At 40.5% G+C, this 21,061-nt stretch overlaps 1 protein-coding gene and 2 pseudogenes across 22 annotated transcripts in view; 2 read left to right on the top strand and 1 right to left on the bottom strand.

Annotated features, from left to right (window-relative positions):
• GRIP1 (glutamate receptor interacting protein 1) overlaps positions 1–21,061 on the top strand; it is a 721,908-nt gene that overhangs the window by 485,477 nt on the left and 215,370 nt on the right. The window lies entirely within an intron of this gene.
• OSBPL9P4 (oxysterol binding protein like 9 pseudogene 4) lies at positions 14,295–20,616 on the top strand (annotated as a pseudogene).
• On the bottom strand, positions 20,168–20,338 carry OSBPL9P5 (oxysterol binding protein like 9 pseudogene 5; annotated as a pseudogene).

Genomic DNA, 21,061 nt, shown 5'->3' with positions numbered 1-21,061 from the left:
CCTGAGGAATCGCCACACTGACTTCCACAATGGTTGAACTAGTTTACAGTCCCACCAACAGTGTAAAAGTGTTCCTATTTCTCCACATCCTCTCCAGCACCTGTTGTTTCCTGACTTTTTAATGATTGCCATTCCAACTGGTGTGAGATGGTATATCACTGTGGTTTTGATTTGCATTTCTCTGATGGCCAGTGATGATGAGCATTTTTTCATGTGTTTTTTGGCTGCGTAAATGTCTTCTTTTGAGAGGTGTCTGTTCACGTCCTTCGCCCACTTTTTGATGGGGTTGTTTGTTTTTTTCTTGTAAATTGGTTTGAGTTCATTGTAGATTCTGGATATTAGCCCTTTGTCAGATGAGTAGGTTGCGAAAATTTTCTCCCATTTTGTAGGTTGCCTGTTCACTCTGATGGTAGTTTCTTTTGCTGTGCAGAAGCTCTTTAGTTTAATTAGATCCCATTTGTCAATTTTGGCTTTTGTTGCCATTGCTTTTGGTGTTTTAGACATGAAGTCCTTGCCCATGCCTATGTCCTGAATGGTAACGCCTAGGTTTTCTTCTAGGGTTTTTATGGTTTTAGGTCTAACGTTTAAGTCTTTAATCCATCTTGAATTAATTTTTGTGTAAGGTGTAAGGAAGGGATCCAGTTTCAGCTTTCTACATATGGCTAGCCAGTTTTCCCAGCACCATTTATTAAATAGGGAATCCTTTCGCCATTGCTTGTTTTTCTCAGGTTTGTCAAAGATCAGATGGTTGTAGATATGCGGCGTTATTTCTGAGGGCTCTGTTCTGTTCCATTGATCTATATCTCTGTTTTGGTACCAGTACCATGCTGTTTTGGTTACTGTAGCCTTGTAGTGTAGTTTGAAGTCAGGTAGCGTGATGCCTCCAGCTTTGTTCTTTTGGCTTAGGATTGACTTGGCGATGCGGGCTCTTTTTTGGTTCCATATGAACTTTAAAGTAGTTTTTTCCAATTCTGTGAAGAAAGTCATTGGTAGCTTGATGGGGATGGCATTGAATCTATAAATTACCTTGGGCAGTATGGCCATTTTCACGATATTGATTCTTCCTACCCATGAGCATGGAATGTTCTTCCATTTGTTTGTATCCTCTTTTATTTCATTGAGCAGTGGTTTGTAGTTCTCCTTGAAGAGGTCCTTCATGTCCCTTGTAAGTTGGATTCCTAGGTATTTTACTCTCTTTGAAGCAATTGTGAATGGGAGTTCACTCATGATTTGGCTCTCTGTTTGTCTGTTATTGGTGTATAAGAATGCTTGTGATTTTTGTACGTTGATTTTGTATCCTGAGACTTTGCTGAAGTTGCTTATCAGCTTAAGGAGATTTTGGGCTGAGACAATGGGGTTTTCTAGATATACAATCATGTCATCTGCAAACAGAGACAATTTGACTTCCTCTTTTCTTAATTGAATACCCTTTATTTCCTTCTCCTGCCTAATTGCCCTGGCCAGAACTTCCAACACTATGTTGAATAGGAGTGGTGAGAGAGGGCATCCCTGTCTTGTGCCAGTTTTCAGAGGGAATGCTTCCAGTTTTTGCCCATTCAGTATGATATTGGCTGTTGGTTTGTCATAGATAGCTCTTATTATTTTGAGATACGTCCCATCAATACCTAATTTATTGAGTGTTTTTAGCATGAAGGGTTGTTGAATTTTGTCAAAGGCCTTTTCTGCATCTATTGAGATAATCATGTGGTTTTTGTCTTTGGTTCTGTTTATATGCTGGATTACATTTATTGATTTGCATATATTGAATCAGCCTTGCATCCCAGGGTTGAAGCCCACTTGATCATGGTGGATAAGCTTTTTGATGTGCTGCTGGATTCAGTTTGCCAGTATTTTATTGAGGATTTTTGCATCAATGTTCATCAAGGATACGGGTCTAAAATTCTCTTTTTTCGTTGTGTCTCTGCCTGGCTTTGGTATCAGGATGATGCTGGCCTCATAAAATGAGTTAGGGAGGATTCCCTCTTTTTCTATTGATTGGAATACTTTCAGAAGGAATAGTACCAGTTCCTCCTTGTACCTCTGGTAGAATTCGGCTGTGAATCCATCTGGTCCTGGATTCTTTTTCGTTGGAAAGCTATTGATTATTGCCACAATTTCAGCTCCTGTTATTGGTCTATTCAGAGATTCAACTTCTTCCTGGTTTAGTCTTGGGAGAGTGTATGTATCAAGGAATTTATCCATTTCTTCTAGATTTTCTAGTTTATTTGCGTAGAGGTGTTTGTAGTATTCTCTGATGGTAGTTTGTATTTCTGTGGGATCAGTGGTGATATCCCCTTTATCATTTTTTATTGCATCTATTTGATTCTTCTCTCTTTTTTTCTTTATTAGTCTTGCTAGTGGTCTATCAATTTTGTTGATCCTTTCAAAAAACCAGCTCCTGGATTCATTAATTTTTTGAAGGGTTTTTTGTGTCTCTATTTCCTTCAATTCTGCTCTGATTTTAGTTATTTCTTGCCTTCTGCTAGCTTTTGAATGTGTTTGCTCTTGCTTTTCTAGTTCTTTTAATTGTGATGTTAGGGTGTCAATTTTGGATCTTTCCTGCTTTCTCTTGTGGGCATTTAGTGCTATCAATTTCCCTCTACACGCTGCTTTGAATGTGTCCCAGAGATTCTGGTATGTTGTATCTTTGTTCTCTTTGGTTTCAAAGAACATCTTTATTTCTGCCTTCATTTCGTTATGTACCCAGTAGTCATTCAGGAGCAGGTTGTTCAGTTTCCATGTAGTTGAGTGGTTTTGAGTGAGTTACTTAATCCTGAGTTCTAGTTTGATTGCACTGTGGTCTGACAGTTTGTTATAATTTCTGTTCTTTTACATTTCCTGAGGAGAGCTTTACTTCCAACTATGTGGTCAATTTTGGAATAGCTGTGGTGTGGTGCTGAAAAAAATGTATATTCTGTTGATTTGGGGTGGAGAGTTCTGTAGATGTCTATTAGGTCCGCTTGATGCAGAGCTGAGTTCAATTCCTGGGTATCCTTGTTGACTTTCTGTCTCGTTGATCTGTCTAATGTTGACAGTGGGGTGTTAAAGTCTCCCATTATTAATGTGTGGGAGTCTAAGTCTCTTTGTAGGTCACTAAGGACTTGCTTTATGAATCTGGGTGCTCCTGTATTGGGTGCATATATATTTAGGATAGTTAGCTCTTCTTGTTGAATTGATCCCTTTACCATTATGTAATGGCCTTCTTTGTCTCTTTTGATCTTTGTTGGTTTAAAGTCTGTTTTATCAGAGACTAGGATTGCAACCCCTGCCTTTTTTTGTTTTCCATTTGCTTGGTAGATCTTCCTCCATCCTTTTATTTTGAGCCTATGTGTGTCTCTGCATGTGAGATGGGTTTCCTGAGTACAACACACTGATGGGTCTTGACTCTTTAGCCAATTTGCCAGTCTGTGTCTTTTAATTGGAGCATTTAGTCCCTTTACATTTAAAGTTAATATTGTTATGTGTGAATTTGATCCTGTCATGATGATGTTAGCTGGTGATTTTGCTCGTTAGTTGATGCAGTTTCTTCCTAGTCTCGATGGTCTTTACATTTTGGCATGATTTTGCAGCAGCTGGTACCAGTTGTTCCTTTCCATGTTTAGTGCTTCCTTCAGGAGCTCTTTTAGGGCAGGCCTGGTGGTGACAAAATCTCTCAGCATTTGCTTGTCTGTAAAGTATTTTATTTCTCCTTCACTTATGAAGCTTAGTTTGGCTGGATATGAAATTCTGGGTTGAAAATTCTTTTCTTTAAGAATGTTGAATATTGGCCCCCACTGTCTTCTGGCTTGTAGAGTTTCTGCCAAGAGATCCGCTGTTAGTCTGATGGGCTTCCCTTTGTGGGTAACCCGACCTTTCTCTCTGGCTGCCCTTAACATTTTTTCCTTCATTTCAACTTTGGTGAATCTGACAATTATGTGTCTTGGAGTTGCTCTTCTCGAGGAGTATCTTTGTGGTGTTCTCTGTATTTCCTGAATATGAATGTTGGCCTGCCTTGCTAGATTGGGGAAGTTCTCCTGGATAATATCCTGCAGAGTGTTTTCCAACTTGGTTCCATTCTCCCCGTCACTTTCACGGACACCAATCAGATGTAGATTTGGTCTTTTCACATAGTCCCATATTTCTTGGAGGCTTTGTTTGTTTCTTTTTATTCTTTTTTCTCTAAACTTCCCTTCTTGCTTCATTTCACGTGTTTCATCTTCCATTGCTGATACCCTTTCTTCCAGTTGATCGCATCGGCTCCTGAGGCTTCTGCATTCTTTACGTAGTTCTCGAGCCTTGGCTTTCAGCTTCATCAGCTCCTTTAAGCACTTCTCTGTATTGGTTATTCTAGTTATACATTCATCTAAGTTTTTTTCAAAGTTTTTAACTTCTTTGCCTTTGGTTTGAATTTCCTCCTGTAGCTCGTAGTTTGATCGTCTGAAGCCTTCTTCTCTCAACTTGTCAAAGTCATTCTCCGTCCAGCTTTGTTCCATTGCTGGTGAGGAACTGCGATCCTTTGGAGGAGGAGAGGTGCTTTGCTTTTTAGAGTTTCCAGTTTTTCTGCTCTGTTTTTTCCCCATCTTTGTGGTTTTATCTACTTTTGGTCTTTGATGATGGTGATGTACAGATGGGTTTTTGGTGTGGATGTCCTTTCTCTTTGTTAGTTTTCCTTCTAACAGACAGGACCCTCAGCTGCAGGTCTGTTGGAGTTTGCTAGAGGTCCACTCCAGACCCTGTTTGCCTGGGTATCAGCAGCGGTGTCTGCAGAACAGTGGTTTTTCGTGAACCGTGAATGCTGCTGTCTGATCGTTCCTCTGGAAGTTTTGTCTCAGAGGAGTACCCGGCTGTGTTAGGTGTCAGTCTGCCCCTACTGGGGGGTGCCTCCCAGTTAGGCTGCTCAGGGGTCAGGGGTCAGGGACCCACTTGAGGAGGCAGTCTGCCCGTTCTCAGATCTCCAGCTGCGTGCTGGGAGAACCACTGCTCTCTTCAAAGCTGTCAGACAGGGAGATTTAAGTCTGCAGAGGTTACTGCTGTCTTTTTGTTTGTCTGTGCCCTGCCCCGAGAGGTGGAGCCTACGGAGGCAGGCAGGCCTCCTTGAGCTGTGGTGGGCTCCACCCCGTTGGAGCTTCCCGGCTGCTTTGTTTACCTAAGCAAGCCTGGGCAATCGTGGGCGCCCCTCCCCCAGCCTCGCTGCCACCTTGCAGTTTGATCTCAGACTGCTGTGCTAGCAATCAGCGAGACTCCGTGGGCATAGGACCCTCTGAGCCAGGTGCGGGATATAATCTCCTGGTGCACCATTTTTTAAGCCCTTTGGAAAAGCGCAGTATTTGGGTGGGAGTGACCCGATTTTCCAGGTGCCCTCTGTCACCCGTTTCTTTGACTAGGAAAGGGAACTCCCTGACCCCTTGCACTTCCCGAGTGAGGCAATGCCTCGCCCTGCTTTGGCTCGCGCACGGTGCGCTGCACCCACTGACCTGCACCCACTGTCTGGCACTCCCTAGTGAGATGAACCTGGTACCTCAGATGGAAATGCAGAAATCACCCGTCTTCTGCGTCGCTCACACTGGGAGCTGTAGACCAGAGCTGTTCCTATTTGGCCATCTTTGCTCCTCCCCTCAATTTTGTATTTTTACAAAAAAAAAAAAAAAAACCGCGGTTTTGCCATATTAGTCAGGCTGGTATTGAACTCCTGCCCTCTGTTGATCCACCTGCCTTGGCTTCCCAAAATGCTGGGATTACAGGCCTGAGCCACCATGCCTGTCCCAGAATATTTTATATTTTTATTGAAGTTTTCAGCAGTTTCACTCATCCTGTTTCAAGTTGCTCTGCAATTGTTTTCCTGGATTGCAGACTTACATTTAATTTAAGGTTATAGTCCCTTAAATTCAAGAAAATGTTTATTTGTTTTGTTGATTGGTTGGTTGGTTTTAAAGCAGGATCTTGCTCTGTCAGCCAGGCTGGAGTGCAGTGGCATGATCATGGCTCACTAAAAGCTTTACCTCCTGGGCTCAAGTCATCCTCTCACTTCAGCATCCGAGTAGCAGAGACCACAGGCACATGCCACTATGCCCAGCTAATTTTTTTTTAACTTTTTTTGTAGGTACACAATCTTGCCATGTTGCCCAGGATGGTTTTGAATTCCTGGGCTCAAGCAATCCTCCCATCTCAGCCTCCCAAAGTACTGGAATTACAGGCGTGAGCCACTGCACCCAGCTGAAAATGTATCTTTATTAAAAGTTCCACCCACAAAGTTTTGCCCAGTAGTGTTCATAGCAGAGTGCAACCCATGTTTGTCAAATCAAAGAGTCTCCTTTCATCACCTGCCTTAGGATCTCATCAATATTATAAATCAACCCTTACACAATGATGAAATAGAATGATAGAGTGGAACTCGGAGTGCTCTTACTGATCTTTCTCTAATAAACACCTAAAAAAATATGTGCGTGCATCACATACACATATTTTCCCCTTTGTGTTCTACTTTCACTATTGGAAACTCCACATCTAATTTCTTCTGCTTCAATATTTTTAGACACAGGAAACTTACTGTCTTACAAAGTAACCCCTGCTTTTTTACATCTCTGTTGAGCATTCCTTACCCTGATGGACTGAAGTTTCTTATCTTGAACCGCTACCCACTGGCTCTTCTAATCTTTCTGAGCTTCCCCAAAGTCAGTCATTCAGATACTTGAATACATCTATCATCTCTTGCTTGAGTTGCTGTTGTTGTTTAAACCAGATAAAATATGTTCCTTCCTCCGGTTCTGCCTTATAGAACATGTTTTCCATATCCTGCTAGTCTTTCTTTAGTTTGTCAATGGTCTTTAGCATGGAGCAGCCAAAACTAGACACTTTGCCACGCTGCTGGTCTGAAAAGAACAGAGTTCAAGAAAACCATTAGCTCACCTGATCTGGATGTAATACTCAACGCAGATTATGACTGTATTTTTAAATGAAATAATGATGTTTGTTTATATTGAACTTGCCATCAACTAACACATACAGGTCTTATTCTTATGAATCACTCTTAAGAGCTAGGTTTCCACCCTTGAGGGGTAGTACTCTGTGTAATGCTGTGCAACTCTGTACTCTCCATTCAATTGTCTGCACATTTATTTCTCTTATATTCTGCCAGTAATGTTTGAGAAGAGGAGAGGAGGAAGAGTACTACTAGTGAGCATCTGTTATGTACCAAAAATCATGTCAGTCTTATTTATTTAAAAAACAGAGGTGTTATCCCTCTTTTGTGGAGGAAGAAATTAAGGCTCACAGAGGCTTAGGTAACTTGTCCAAGTCTACCCAACAACGGGACTGATATTTGAGTTTAGAATCACCTTAATTCAAAGGCTGTCTTCTTTCAGCTATGTACACAGCTCTCGAGTGAGTCAGCTTCTCTTTCCAACTTGATGAAATAGTCTCTATTCCTGATCATCACATACATCTACTACTCTTCTTAGCAATGAATTAGCTTCAAATTTGATAAGCATCAAATAGTGTTAACAATTTTGAGCATAGCAGTGCCAAGGACAGAGCTTTGCAGCATCCCCGGCAGAGATCTTGCCTTTTACCCATGCATGCTGATTTGCAGGCTTTGGGTATCATTTTCACTCAGTTCATGGTAGTCCATCCTCTCTACAGGTTATTATGAGAGATCTTTCTAAAAGTCCCACTGAAATACTAAAATATCATAACTAGTGTATATTATCTTTCTATATGGTGGTGGTTTACCTTCCTTATTCTTCAGTGGTATAATAATCCTTTCTAAAATGTTGCCAGGACATATCCCAGAGGTCTAAGATTTCTGGCATCCTTCAATATAGAAATTGAGATTCTTGCTCATTCCAGCCTTTCAGCATACCTTTGATTTTTATCTTCATTTCATAGTCATGTTTATACATTATTTTAATTCTCTGGCTTAACTTTATCTGACTCTAGAAACTTGAATATATTCTAAACAGCTAGGGCATTCTTTTAATATGATTTTGCCTACCTTTGGCATAAGGTTTCTTTTAACCTTAAAGTCAATCCTTTCTACTTTAAGATTTTTCTCCTTTGAAGCCACTGGAGGTACAACATTGGAACTGAGTAGCTCAGTATTTCAGCTAAATGCTAAAAGTAACTTTATACCAGCTTCTACAAGCAGAGACTTCTTGCCTATGTTCTTCTTATTTGGGACTACAGAACTTGGAAAAATTTTCTAGTTGTCCTGAACACCTTTTAGCTACCATTCTTGCAGGATAACATTGCCTATAAGCTAATAAAGCCTATCCAGGATCTATTCTTTCTAGGAGGCCAGATGAAGGTGGTTGTCATTATGGTGGCAAGAACTCTTCTTCTGCTCTTCAGACACAAGGAATGAAGGAAAGAAAGTTTTAGGAGTTTATAATAAATGAAGTGGTAAATATTTAAAATGCTGATTATATCAAGTGTTATCTAGGATACCGAAAAATAAACACTTCTAATTGTTCATAGGAATATAAACTTTTTGGAAGACACATTGGTATCATCAATAAAAATATTTTAAAATGTATGTTTTTCCCAATATTTCTGGGAATATATCCTTTAATAATACTCACACCTGTGCATGAAGATGTAACTGTGCTTGCTACTCATAAAAGGTGGTGAATTTTTAGAATCATCCTAATCTGATAAAGGAATGCTTCAAAAAAATATATAAGTAGACTTGACAACCACTGTTATCATCAGTCACTGCCTCTGAGGGAGAATGTCAGTTGGTTTGGAAGAGGGTGTCACCAGGAATAGGAAGGGACCTCTCCCAACTCTGATTCACTGTTGAAAAGTGGGAATGGAGGCCGGGCACGGTGGCTAATGCCTGTAATCCCAATACTTTCGGAGGCTGAGGCAGGCAGATCACCTGAAGTCAGAAGTTCGGGATGATCCTGGCCAACATGGTGAAACCCCGTCTCTATTAAAAATAGAAAAAAAAAATAGCTGGGCATGGTGGCTGGGTGCCTGTTATACCAGGAAGATGAGGCATAAGAATCGCTTGAATCCAGAAGGCGGAGCTGAGATCACACCACTGCACTCCAGCCAGGGCGGCGACAGAGCGAGACTCCGTCTAAAAAAAAAAAAAAGAAAAGTGGGAACAGAGAGTTCCTTCAGTCAGCTGCAAGAGGACAAGTAGAGTGGAGTTGACCATGAAAGTGGGCAGAACTGGGTATAAAATATAATAGCAAGTCAGTCTGTACAGAGATGCATGTTGAAGATGTTAATGAAATATTGTAAGCAACCTAAAATATCTATCAATAGAGGAATGGTCAAACAAATTAGGATGTCATTATTCTAGGAAGGTTTATAAAACTGTTAAACGTATGAGGTAGACCTGTAGGCCATGTCATGAAAAGATCTCCAAGACATATTGGTATGTTGGAAAACAGCAAGTCATTTTGTGGTGTTCAATCCAATTTAGGTGAAATGTTAGTGTTTTAAAAGAGAGAGTGAAAGGTTGGCACAAATTTTGACAGTGGCTTCCTCTGAGATGGGAGGAGTAGAAGGAGAGTGCAGAGGAGTGCCCTTGGGCTTTGCCCCAAATCCTTCTGTCTCATTGGAATCTTACACTAAAACGCATTTGTTTATTACCTGGATAATTTTTTTAAAACCGCTATAATGACAGGAAAGAATATCAGTGAATTGACGCTGCCTATCAGAACCATATCTTGGGTGGGTGGGGGGCATCCCTGACCCAGCCCTGCAGATGAGGAAGAAGACGAGGCATCTCTGCCAGCTGATACCACACAGAGCCTACAACCATTTGTTTCTGCACGTGTCAAGAAGACCATTTGCAAAAGAGAACAGCAAAAACAACTCACCATTTATGTGAGTAAGAGAAAATAGAGGATTTGGGGGAAAAAAAGATCAATAGTTTGAAATATTTCAGCTCATATGGAAAAGGGATTATCATGTTTTCCATGATCTTAGAGGCAGAACTAGAACTCATAGGCCAGAGGGCACCAACCAGCATGATCCCCCTCTCAGCAGTCACCGTCTAAACACAGAAGCATCTCGTTTGGCTGGTGAATACTGGGAGGCAGCACCTGTTGCTCTTCACCCTGTTTCACATCCGTACCCTGTACATGTGTGTCCAGCACAGCTTGTTTCTTTCAGTTTCTCTGACTAGCACCTGTGTTTGGATGTTTGATTCGTGCTGTGGGGTCAAGCTTTAGGGAATCAGACTAGGAAGCAGCTTAAGGTAGAACTTTCTAAGCATAGGAAGGCAGCACACCTATCTGGTTAGGAACGCAGGCTCTGGAGCTAGCCTGCCTTACTTGAATGCCGGCCCTGCCACCTACTACTGTGTGGAATTAAGCTGGTTGCTTCAGTTTCATGCTTCAGTTTTCCCATTGTGTGAAATGAGAGTGTAATGAGGATTATACGAGTTAATACACATAAAGCATTTACATTAGTTATCTATCACCATGTAACAATATTACTACAAATTTAGCAGCTTAAAACAATACACGTTTATTATCCCACAGTTTCTGTGGGTCAGGATTCTAGGCACGGCTCATCTGGTCCTTTTTAGGGTCTCACAGAGCTACAATCAAGGTGTCAAATAGAATAGCAGTCTCGACTGAGTCTTGACTCAGAGAGGATCTACTCCCAGGCGCACCCAGGTTGTTGGCCGAATTCAGTTCAGGGCTTTGGTTTCTTGCTGGCTGTCAGCCCCAGAGGCTGCCTTCAGCCCCAGCCTCAAAGCCCACAAGGGAGACAAGGCTGTGAGCATGATAGGTGCTACAGTCGGCATATATATAACATATATATGCCGACATATATACAACATATATATGCCGACATATATACATATGTTATATGTGCATAGTCGGCATATATATAACAACATGCATCTGGAAGCTTTGCCATATCTACTGGTTAGAGGTAAGCCATAGGTCATGCCCACACTCAAGGAAAGAGGACATCTAAGGGCAGTGAACATCAGGAGTTAAGGATCATAGAGAACTGTCATATAGAAAACATATGAGATCATAGAGAACACCGTCCTCCATGGCATACCAAGTCAGGCCTACTGCATATAAAGTTTTTAATAAATGTGAGTTATTATCCATGGAAGCTATCTGAAGAAGGCATAGATGGCTTTCTGGGAGGATTAGTTTCTCACACTGGGGGTATTCAGACCATTACTGGGTGGAGACTGTAGACACGTAGCAAAGAAAACCAAATGGAAATAGGCGTTGAGCCAGATAGCTCCTGAAGGTCACCTGAGATTACCCTGTCACCAGACAAGGTGAACCAACTGCCCCCTCCTCCTTCAGCATTGTCCTGAGTTCATTACTACTTTCTTTTTTCCATGCTGTCTTTTTTCACTTTTGTCTGATTTCACCTGTGTAAAAATGGAAACTAGAACACCCCATATGATTTTCTCTGAGAATTCTGAGAGTTGCCCTGATCCCTCATAGAATAGCCATGCTTGGGGGTGGGGTGGGAGGAAGGAAACACACTTTACCTTTACTATAATTTACAGGTTTGTTTCTTCCTAAGGAAAAGGGACCCAGGCCCTGTTTACTTTTTCAGTGTCTCTCAAAATTCTAACCAGGTAGGTATGCCTAGACTGTACTCAATAAACACCATCTAACATCTCCTGGAAGAGGGAGAGATAATGAATTGGACTGCTAGGCTCTTTCTAGATCTTGCCGCTGATATACAAGGGTTTTTACCTGTTTGATTCACTCCCCAGTTCGTTCATGTGCCTCCGCTGTTTCTGAGGAAGGCCTGGTAAATATAAACTTTCTGTTGAGTACCCCAGCCCTGGAAGAGGACTGATAAGGCAGTTCCATGGGTGGGCAGCACAGAATCCAGAAGTGTGGGGTTTTTTTAGGCCTGAGAAGTTGATTTAAAACATATGTATCCTTACGTATTGATTTCATAAGTGCATACACCAGCCCTACTTCTGCATTCATCCTCTGAAACATGTGACTGAAGAACCATGTGTGCCTCATATGCAAACACTCAAATACACCCTCTGCCATGCCCATACCTAACTCCGAGCCCTGTTGTCCTGGGGAAAGTAAATGGAAATGACTGAGGACAGTCATGCTAGTAACTAAACTTTAGAAATACAATAACCATGAAGCATCTCTGTTAATTCAGGCAATTTCCCAGTAGAGTATTAAGGTGTTAATTGCTTCTGCACTTTTCTATTTGACAGATATGTCCTTTTTCACCTAGGAAAGGGAAGCAATTATTGTAATGCTCTCCTGGGCTTTGTGAGATATTCTTTAATGACTTTTAAAGGCATCAATAGGGCATTGTGCTTTTAAAGGGAAACTGTACTCTTTTCTGTTTGTGCTTGACAACAAGAGTGGGTATTATATTCAGACTACATGATGAATCTGTGAAAGGAAAATATGCAATGAAAAAAAAACAAAGGCAGTAGTAATACATTTTCAGGAAGTATGTATCCAGATTTCAGATATGAGAAAAATATGTTCTTATATGTGCATATATCACTGAGCTTAACAAAGATTAAACAAACACAACAAAAAAGATACTCAGCAGGCATATTTTTCTGGAATTTTAACACAAAGTTGTTATTCTCTGGAACTGGTGTGGCCTCCCAAGTGAGGGTTTGGCAGGTGGTTTACTCAATACAAATCGGTAAATATTCTCTTACACATCGTGTGAAAGTGACTTTCACAGGCTACTTGAGCTACAATTGGTTTTACAGTTTCATGTTTACATTCAGAATAAAAGAAAAATAGTCTTAGAACTTGCAATTAGAATTCAGAACTCTTTTATGATAAGAGTCACTTTGGCAACCTGGTCAAGCCAAGACAACCCATGTTAACTAAAGTGATAGTGCAGAAAGAAGACTGGATGTGGAATGAGAACTGAAGTTAGAGTTTTAAGTCCTCACAAAAGGATTTGCCTGATACCTGTCCTTAGGCAAGTTGTCTAACCTTCAAAAGCTTCAGATTTTTCATCTGTAGGATCCTGGGTTTCTGTGAGAATCAAATGTATGTGACTCTTCTGGCCAACTTAAGTGCTGTCTTGATATAAAATTGTATGATCAAAGGAAGATCTAGGTTTTGTGCCGCCTCAAGTTTATACAATTTGAGGGGAGGGAGTTCTTTAAGAAAAAAAATACAAAAATATCATTTTTCGAATTTGACAAAACCATATGGTGGTGTGAATACATTGCTAGGATGCCTCCCAAGACTTTGGAAGAAGCCTGTGCCAGTTAAGGTCCCAGAAATTCGAGACTCAGTTACTTAGCCTGTGCAGCATTATTATAGACTTAGAGAATGCTAAAGCTAGAAATGGCCATACAAGTGTGACAGGGGTTCACACTTGTTTTTTTAGCAGTAGAAACCTCTTTTCAAAATCTTATGTGGAGGAATAAGAGGAAAAAACTGACTAGCATAACTGAAGATGGGACCTAGGACTTAGAGATATGCCTATTTGGTCTCTATCTTCTCTGGAAGAATTTCAGTTGAGGCCCGGTGTGGTGGCTCATGCCTCTCTAATCCTAGCACTTTCAGAGGCTGGGATCACTTGAGGCCAGGAGTTTGAGACTGGCCTGAGCAAATAACAAGACTCTACCTGTACAAAAATTTTAAAAATTAGCCAGGCATGGTGGCATGCACCTGTATTCCCAGCTACTCAGGAGGCTGAGGCTGGAGGATCACTTGAGCCCAGGAATTCAAGGTTGCAGTGAGCTAGATCATACCAGTGCACTCCAGCCTGGGTGACGGAGTAAGACCCTGTCTCTAATATATACATACATACATACATACATACATGCAATGCCTACAAACTACCCCCCAACATACACATTTTAACAACTGTGAACTGGGATGCATTTTATAGTTGTTCTTAGACATGTGATAATCATAATATTATTATTATTGCCTGTGCATGCACTTACTTGGTTGCAGTTCCTGGTGATATCATTGGATAAATGTAACTTCTTGAAGTTTCAGGAAATAAACCTGAAACTGAGTAGAACCTGAAATAAACCTGAGGAGGGAATATGTACTGTTGTCTAAACTGTTCTGTTGATACTTTCCCATAAGCTCAAGAAGCACAAGTATCAAAACTTGCCAAATGAGGATCCAATCAAGTGGAGAAGGAAAAGGGGTGCTCGGAAGCAGCCCCCAGCCCCCTCTCTATCCTGGAGGCACAGAGTGTGGGGGTCTTGCAAATTACTTTCTTGCTGGACACTTGTGGAGTGAGTACACCCTGAGGGTCTGGGAGAGGCCTAACCTCCACCCCTGAGTCCCATGGTCCCTGGTGCCTGCCCAGGGCCAGGCTATGGGCTCAGATGTCACACTTTCCTTGCCTCCTTCCTTGTCACCTCCAGAGATTTGGATTCAGGATTTGTTCCTAGTGTCCAAAACTTTGACAGGAAAGTTAACTTCTTTTTTTTTTCAGACGAAGTCTCACTCTGTCACCCAGGCTGGAGTGTAGTGGGGCAATCTTGGCTCACGGCAACCTCTGTCCCCTGGGTTCAAGCGATTCTCCTGCCTCAGCTTCCCCAGTAGCTGGGATTGCAGGCGCCTGCCACCGCACCCAGCTAATTTTTGTATTTTTAGCAGAGACGGGATTTCACTGTCTTGGCCAGGCTGGTCTTGAACTCCTGACCTCGTGTTCCACCCACCTCAGCCTCCCAAAGTGCTGGGATTACAGACGTGAGCCACCGCTCCAGAGACTGATGCCCACCTACAAATCTTGATAGAACAATTAAAGTTTTTTGATCACAAGCTTCAAAACTGCAAAGATAATAAGCAGAGAAAGAAAACTGAAACTCTCAAAGAGAAGCAAATAGCATGGTGGAATCAATGAAACACTGCACTGTGTTGATGCAGACTGCTGAAGACCAGAATAATGCTGAGAAGCACGCAGATAGAATTATAAGTACTATTAATCTTGTAGATGCAGTGTATCAACCTAGTCCCTGGGAACCTGTGATCAGCACAATGCCTTCCCAGACTGTCTCACCTCCCTCTGGAACCTACTCAACTGCATAAGACAGAGCAGAGTTCATCTTCCTGACCAGTTGGACCTGTACTAATTGCCTTGGGACATCATTAGACTCCAACACCAAATAGTAGAGGCAGTGCCCATTCACCACCTAGTAGCGGTCTAACTTCTCCAAGCCATGTCAATGGCTTCTCTAAATACAATCCCAGAATTCTCTTATTCCAGCAGTGAAGATGAATTCTACAATGCTGATGAATGTCATCAACATGGCTCATCCCCAAAGCACTTAATAGATTCTTCTGAATCTGCGTCAATCTTGACACATGGCAGTGCGGAAAACAGACTAAAGTGCCCAGATAGCACAGAATCACTTAATTCTTTCACATCCAATGGAACAAGTGATGCTGACTCTTGATTCACATGATGAGAGACCTGACAAGGAGGAGGCAGGGTCCATGGAGGAGCATAAGAGCGTTACCACACACTTCTTGTCACAGGTTAGGCTTAGTATGGATCTTACTAAAGTAGATCTTCCACCATTTTTTCTTGAAAGAGGATCTCTTTTAGAAGCATATGCAGACATTTTTTGCATATCCAACCTTTTTGCGAACATTGGTGACCAGGGATTGAACGGTTCAGAATGTGAAATGGTACCTCTCAGCCTTTCATGCAAGAAGGAAAGAATCAATTGTCAAAAAGTCATTTTAGCAAGATCTTTCAGTGTCAATGGATATTACCAAATGATACCAAAGAGAACACAGAGCTAGTTTTAGAAGGACCAGTTCCCTGGGTTTCCAAAAACAATGTAAAATTTGTAGCTGAACAGATTTCCCATCATCCACCTACTTTAGCCTTTTATGCTGAGTGTTTATCAGAAAGATTCAATTCATTGGTGATATCTGGACCTAATCAAAATTCCTCAGGATGTCAATTGGGACACACAACATAGGGTGGGGCCACAAGCCCTGTGTCTTTTGTTTTAACTATGAGAAACATTACATCCTCACATTCCCCAGTGTTTACGGATGTTCTATCCTCGCAGTGCTCTGAATGGAACTAGGAGGAGAATGCAATATTAATTATTCCAAAACTGGTGATAGTGCAAACATCATCTTCCACACTGAACCTTTCTCTGGGGACAGGAAGCACAGAATTACCACTGTGATTTTTTTCTCCAAAGGATGAGAAGCCTTCTGCTCAACTGAAGGGGAATGGAATGGTGTAATGTATGCAAAATATGCAACAGGGGAAAATGCAGTCTTTGTAGATACCAAGAAGATGTCTATAATGAAGAAGATAGGAAGTTGAAAGATCAGAAAAAATATGAATCTCACTGCCTTTAGAAGGATGTACTTTCAACTTAAAAATCAGAGACATTCAGTTTCCATGCAGTTGTGCAATTTTGAGTGAGTTTCTTAATCCTGAGTTCTAATTTGATTGCACTGTGGTCTGAGAGACAGTTTGTTATAATTTCTGTTCTTTTACATTTGCTGAGGAGTGCTTTACTTCCAACTATGTGGTCAGTTTTGGAAGACTACTGGGTAAATAATGAAATGAAGGCAGAAATAAAGATGTTCTTTGAAACCAATGAGAACAAAGACACAACATACCAGAATCTCCAGGAGACATTTAAAGCAGTGTTCAGAGGGAAATTTATAGCGTTAAATGCCCACAAGAGAAAGCAGAAAAGATCTAAAATCGATACCCTAACATCACAATTAAAAGAACTATAGAAGCAAGAGCAAACACATTCAAAAGCTAGCTGAAGGCAAGAAATAACTAAGATCAGAGCAGAACTGAAGGAGATAGAGACACAAAAAAACCTTCAAAAAATCAATGAATCCAGGAGCTGGTTTTTTGAAAAGATCAACAAAATTGATAGACAGCTAGCAAGACTAATAAAGAAGAAAAGAGAGAATACATGCAATAAAAAATGATAAAGGGGATATCACCACTGATCCTACGGAAATACAAACTACCATCAGAGAATACTATAAACACCTCCATGAAAATAAACTAGAAAATCTAGAAGAAATGGGTAAATTCCTCGACACATACACCCTCCCAAGACTAAACTAGGAAGAAGTTGAATCCCTGAATAGACCAATAACAGGCTCTGAAATTGAAGCAATGATTAATAGCTTACCAACCAAAAAAAGTCCTGGATTTTTTTTGGAAGACGGATTCACAGCCGAATTTTACCAGGGATACAAACAACAGCTGGTACCATTCCTTCTGAAACTATTTCAATCAATAGAAAAAGAGGGAATCCTCCCTAACTCATTTTATGAGGCCAGCATCATCCTGATACCAAAGCCTGGCAAGGACACAACAACAACAAAAAAGAATTTTAGACCAATATCCCTGATGAAAATCAATGCAAAAATCCTCAATAAAATACTGGCAAACTGAATCAAGCAGCACATCAAAAAGCTTATCCACCACGGTCAAGTGGGCTTCATCCCTTGAGATGCAAGGCTGGTTCAACATACTAAAATCAATAAACATTATCCATCATATAAACAGAACCAAAGACAAAAACCACACGATTATCTCAATAGATGCAGAAAAGGCCTTTGACAAAATTCAACAACCTTCATGCTAAAAACTCTCAATAAATTAGGTATTGATGGGACATATCTCAAAATATAAGAGCTATTTATGATAAACCCACAGCCAATATCATACTGAATGGGCAAAAACTGAAGCATTCCCTTTGAAAACTGGCACAAGACAGGGATGCCCTCTCTCACCACTCCTGTTCAACATAGTGTTGGAAGTTCTGGCCAGGGCAATTAGGCAGGAGAAATAAATAAAGGGTATTCAGTTAGGAAAAGAGGAAGTCAAATTGTCTCTGTTTGCAGATGACATGATTGTATATTTAGAAAACCCCATCGTCTCAGCCCAAAATCTCATTAAGCTGATAAGCAACTTCAGCAAAGTCTCAGGATACAAAATCAATGTACAAAAATCACAAGCATTCCTATACACCAGTAACAGACAAACAGTGAAATCATGAGTGAACCCCCATTCACAATTGTTTCAAAGAGAATAAAATACCTAGGAATCCCACTTACAAGGGACATGAAGGACCTCTTCAAGGAGAACTACAAACCACTGCTCAACGAAATAAAAGAGGACACAAACAAATGGAAAAACATTCCATGCTCATGGATAGGAAGAATCAATATCGTGAAAATGGCCATACTGCCCAAGGTAACTTATAGATTCAATGCCATCCCCATCAAGCTACCAATGACTTTCTTCACAGAATTGGAAAAAAACTATTTTAAAGTTCATATGGAACCAAAAAAGAGCCTGCATTGCCAAGACAGTCCTAAGCCAAAAGAACAAAGCTGGAGGCATCACGCTACCTGACTTCAAACTATACTACAAGGCTACAGTAACCAAAACAGCATGGTACTGGTACCAAAACAGAGATATAGACCAATGGAACAGAACAGAGCCCTCAGAAATAGTACCACACATCTACAATCATCTAATCTTTGACAAACCTGACAAAAACAAGAAATGGGGAAAGGATTCCCTATTTAATAAATGGTGCTGGGAGAACTGGCTAGCCATATATTGAAAGCTGAAACTGGATCCCTTCCTTACACCTTATACAAAAATTAATTCAAGATGGATTAAAGACTTAAATGTTAGACCTAAAACCATAAAAACCCCAGAAGAAAACCTAGGCAATACCATTCAGGCCATAGGCATGGGCAAGGACTTCATGTCTAAAACACCAAAAGCAATGGCAACAAAAGCCAAAATTGACAAATGGGATCTAATTAAACTAAAGAGCTTCTGCACAGCAAAAGAAACTACCATCAGAGTGAACCAGCAACCTACAGAATGGGGGAAAATTTTTGCAATCTACCCATCTGACAAAGGGCTAATATCCAGAATCTACAAAGAATCTAAACAAATTTACAAGAAAAAATCAACCCCATCAAAAAGTGGGTGAAGGGTGTGAACAGACACTTCTCAAAAGAAGACATTTCTGTAGCCAACAGGCACATGAAAAAATGCTCATCATCACTGGCCATCAGAGAAGTGCAAATCAAAACCACAAGGAGATACCATCTCACACCAGTTAGAATGGCGATCATTAAAAAGTCAGGAAACAACAGGTGCTGGAGAGGATGTGGAGAAATAGGAACACTTTTACACTGTTGGTGGGACTGTAAACTAGTTCAACCATTGTGGAAGACAGTGTGGCGATTCCTCAGGGATCTAGAACTAGAAATACCATTTGACCCAGCCATCCCATTACTGGGTATATACCCAAAGGATTATAAATCATGCTGCTATAAAGACACATGCACACATATGTTTATTGTGGCACTATTCACGATAGCAAAGACTTGGAACCAACCCAAATGTCCAACAATAGTAGACTGGATTAAGAAAATGTGGCACATATATACCATGGAATACTATGCAGCCATAAAAAACGATGAGTTAATGTCTTTTGTAGGGACATGGATGAAGCTGGAAACCATCATTCTGAGCAAACTATCACAAGGACAGAAAACCAAACACTACATCTTCTCACTCATAGGTGGGAACTAAACAATGAGAACACTGGGACACAGGGTAGGGAACATCACACACCGGAGCCTGTTGTGGGGTGGGGGGAGGGGGGAGGGATAGCATTAGGAGAAATACCTAATGTAAATGATGAGTTAATGGGTGCAGCACACCAGCATGGCACATGTATACATATGTAACAAACCTGCACGTTGTGCACATGTACCCTAGAACTTAAAATATTAAGAAAAAAAATCAGAGATATTGATGCGGCAACTGAAGCAAAACACAAACTTGAAAAAGACAGAGAAGAAACCCAAGAAAGGAAGGAGAAGGAAATCCAATGGGAGACAAGCTTATTTCATGAAGTTGGAAGATATTGGGTTTATGATGAACTATTACTGAATTATCTTGGTGCTGCCAAGCCTTGGGCTAGGAAATGTAAAGTTTATACCTGATGGCCAGGGCAGTAAGCATAATTAAGCAACAAACATTCTCCCTTTGGGAGAACCTGTTCATTCCCTTCTTATTGCAATGGTTTCTCAGGGATATGAGACTTTCTTGTTTTTTTATTTTTTACAATTAAAAATCAATTGTATTTAATTATATACAATGCATAATTGGAAATTTAAAAAGCAGTACCATTTGCAACAACATAAAAAATCAAGTAAATAGAAATTCCTAGCCCAATGCTTGGCAGCACCAAGATAATTCAGTAATGATTCATCATAAACCCAACATCTTCCATCTTCATGAAATAAGCTTGTCTCCCATTGGATTTCCTTCTCCTTCCTTTCTTGGGTTTCTTCTGTTTGTCTTTTTCAAGTTTGTGTTTTGCTTCAGTTGCAGCATCAATGTCTCTCTTTGCCATAAATCTAGCAAAATATTTATAAGATCTACACAGGATATGGGACTTTCTGACACAGATGAACAATTACAGTGGGAAAAGCTTCCCTTTTTCCTCTGTGGCAGTTATGGTCATAAGTCCTGAGAAAAACTTCAGGTTTTGAAAACAAGATGATTGCTCCTTTTCCAAACCCTACATGTTGAAAAGCATTTCTAAATCCAAGCCTCAAACTCTACACTCTAATACTGATGTTAAGGAATACAACTTCTGTTTTCTAGTTCTTATGATGTTGGATTATGTGTGTGTTTGTGTATATACAGTCCATATGTTGGATTATATGTGTATATATACACACACACAGTGTATATAGTGTATATACTGTATATATAGTATAACTGTATACATACACACATACATATGCAGTTGACCCTTGAACAACACAGGTTTGAACTGCACAGGTCTACATAAACACAGATTTTCTACCACCTCTGCCACCCCCGAGATAGCAAGTCCAACCCTCCTCTTCCTTCTCCTCAGCCTACCTAACGTGAAGAAGACAAGGATGAAGACCTTTATGATGATCCTCTTCCACTTAATAAATAGTAAATATATTTTCTTCCTTATGATTTTCTTAACAACATTCTCTTTTATTATAAGAATATAGTATATCATACATATAACATACACAATATGTGTTTATGTTGTCAGTAAAGCTTCCAGTCAACAGTAGGCTATTAA

This window comes from Homo sapiens, chromosome 12 (genome assembly GCF_000001405.40).
Source record: "Homo sapiens chromosome 12, GRCh38.p14 Primary Assembly".
In the NCBI taxonomy this organism is placed as follows: domain Eukaryota; kingdom Metazoa; phylum Chordata; class Mammalia; order Primates; family Hominidae; genus Homo; species Homo sapiens.
The sequence above is the reverse complement of the archived record's forward strand: the minus strand, read 5'-3'. Positions and strand labels throughout refer to the sequence as shown.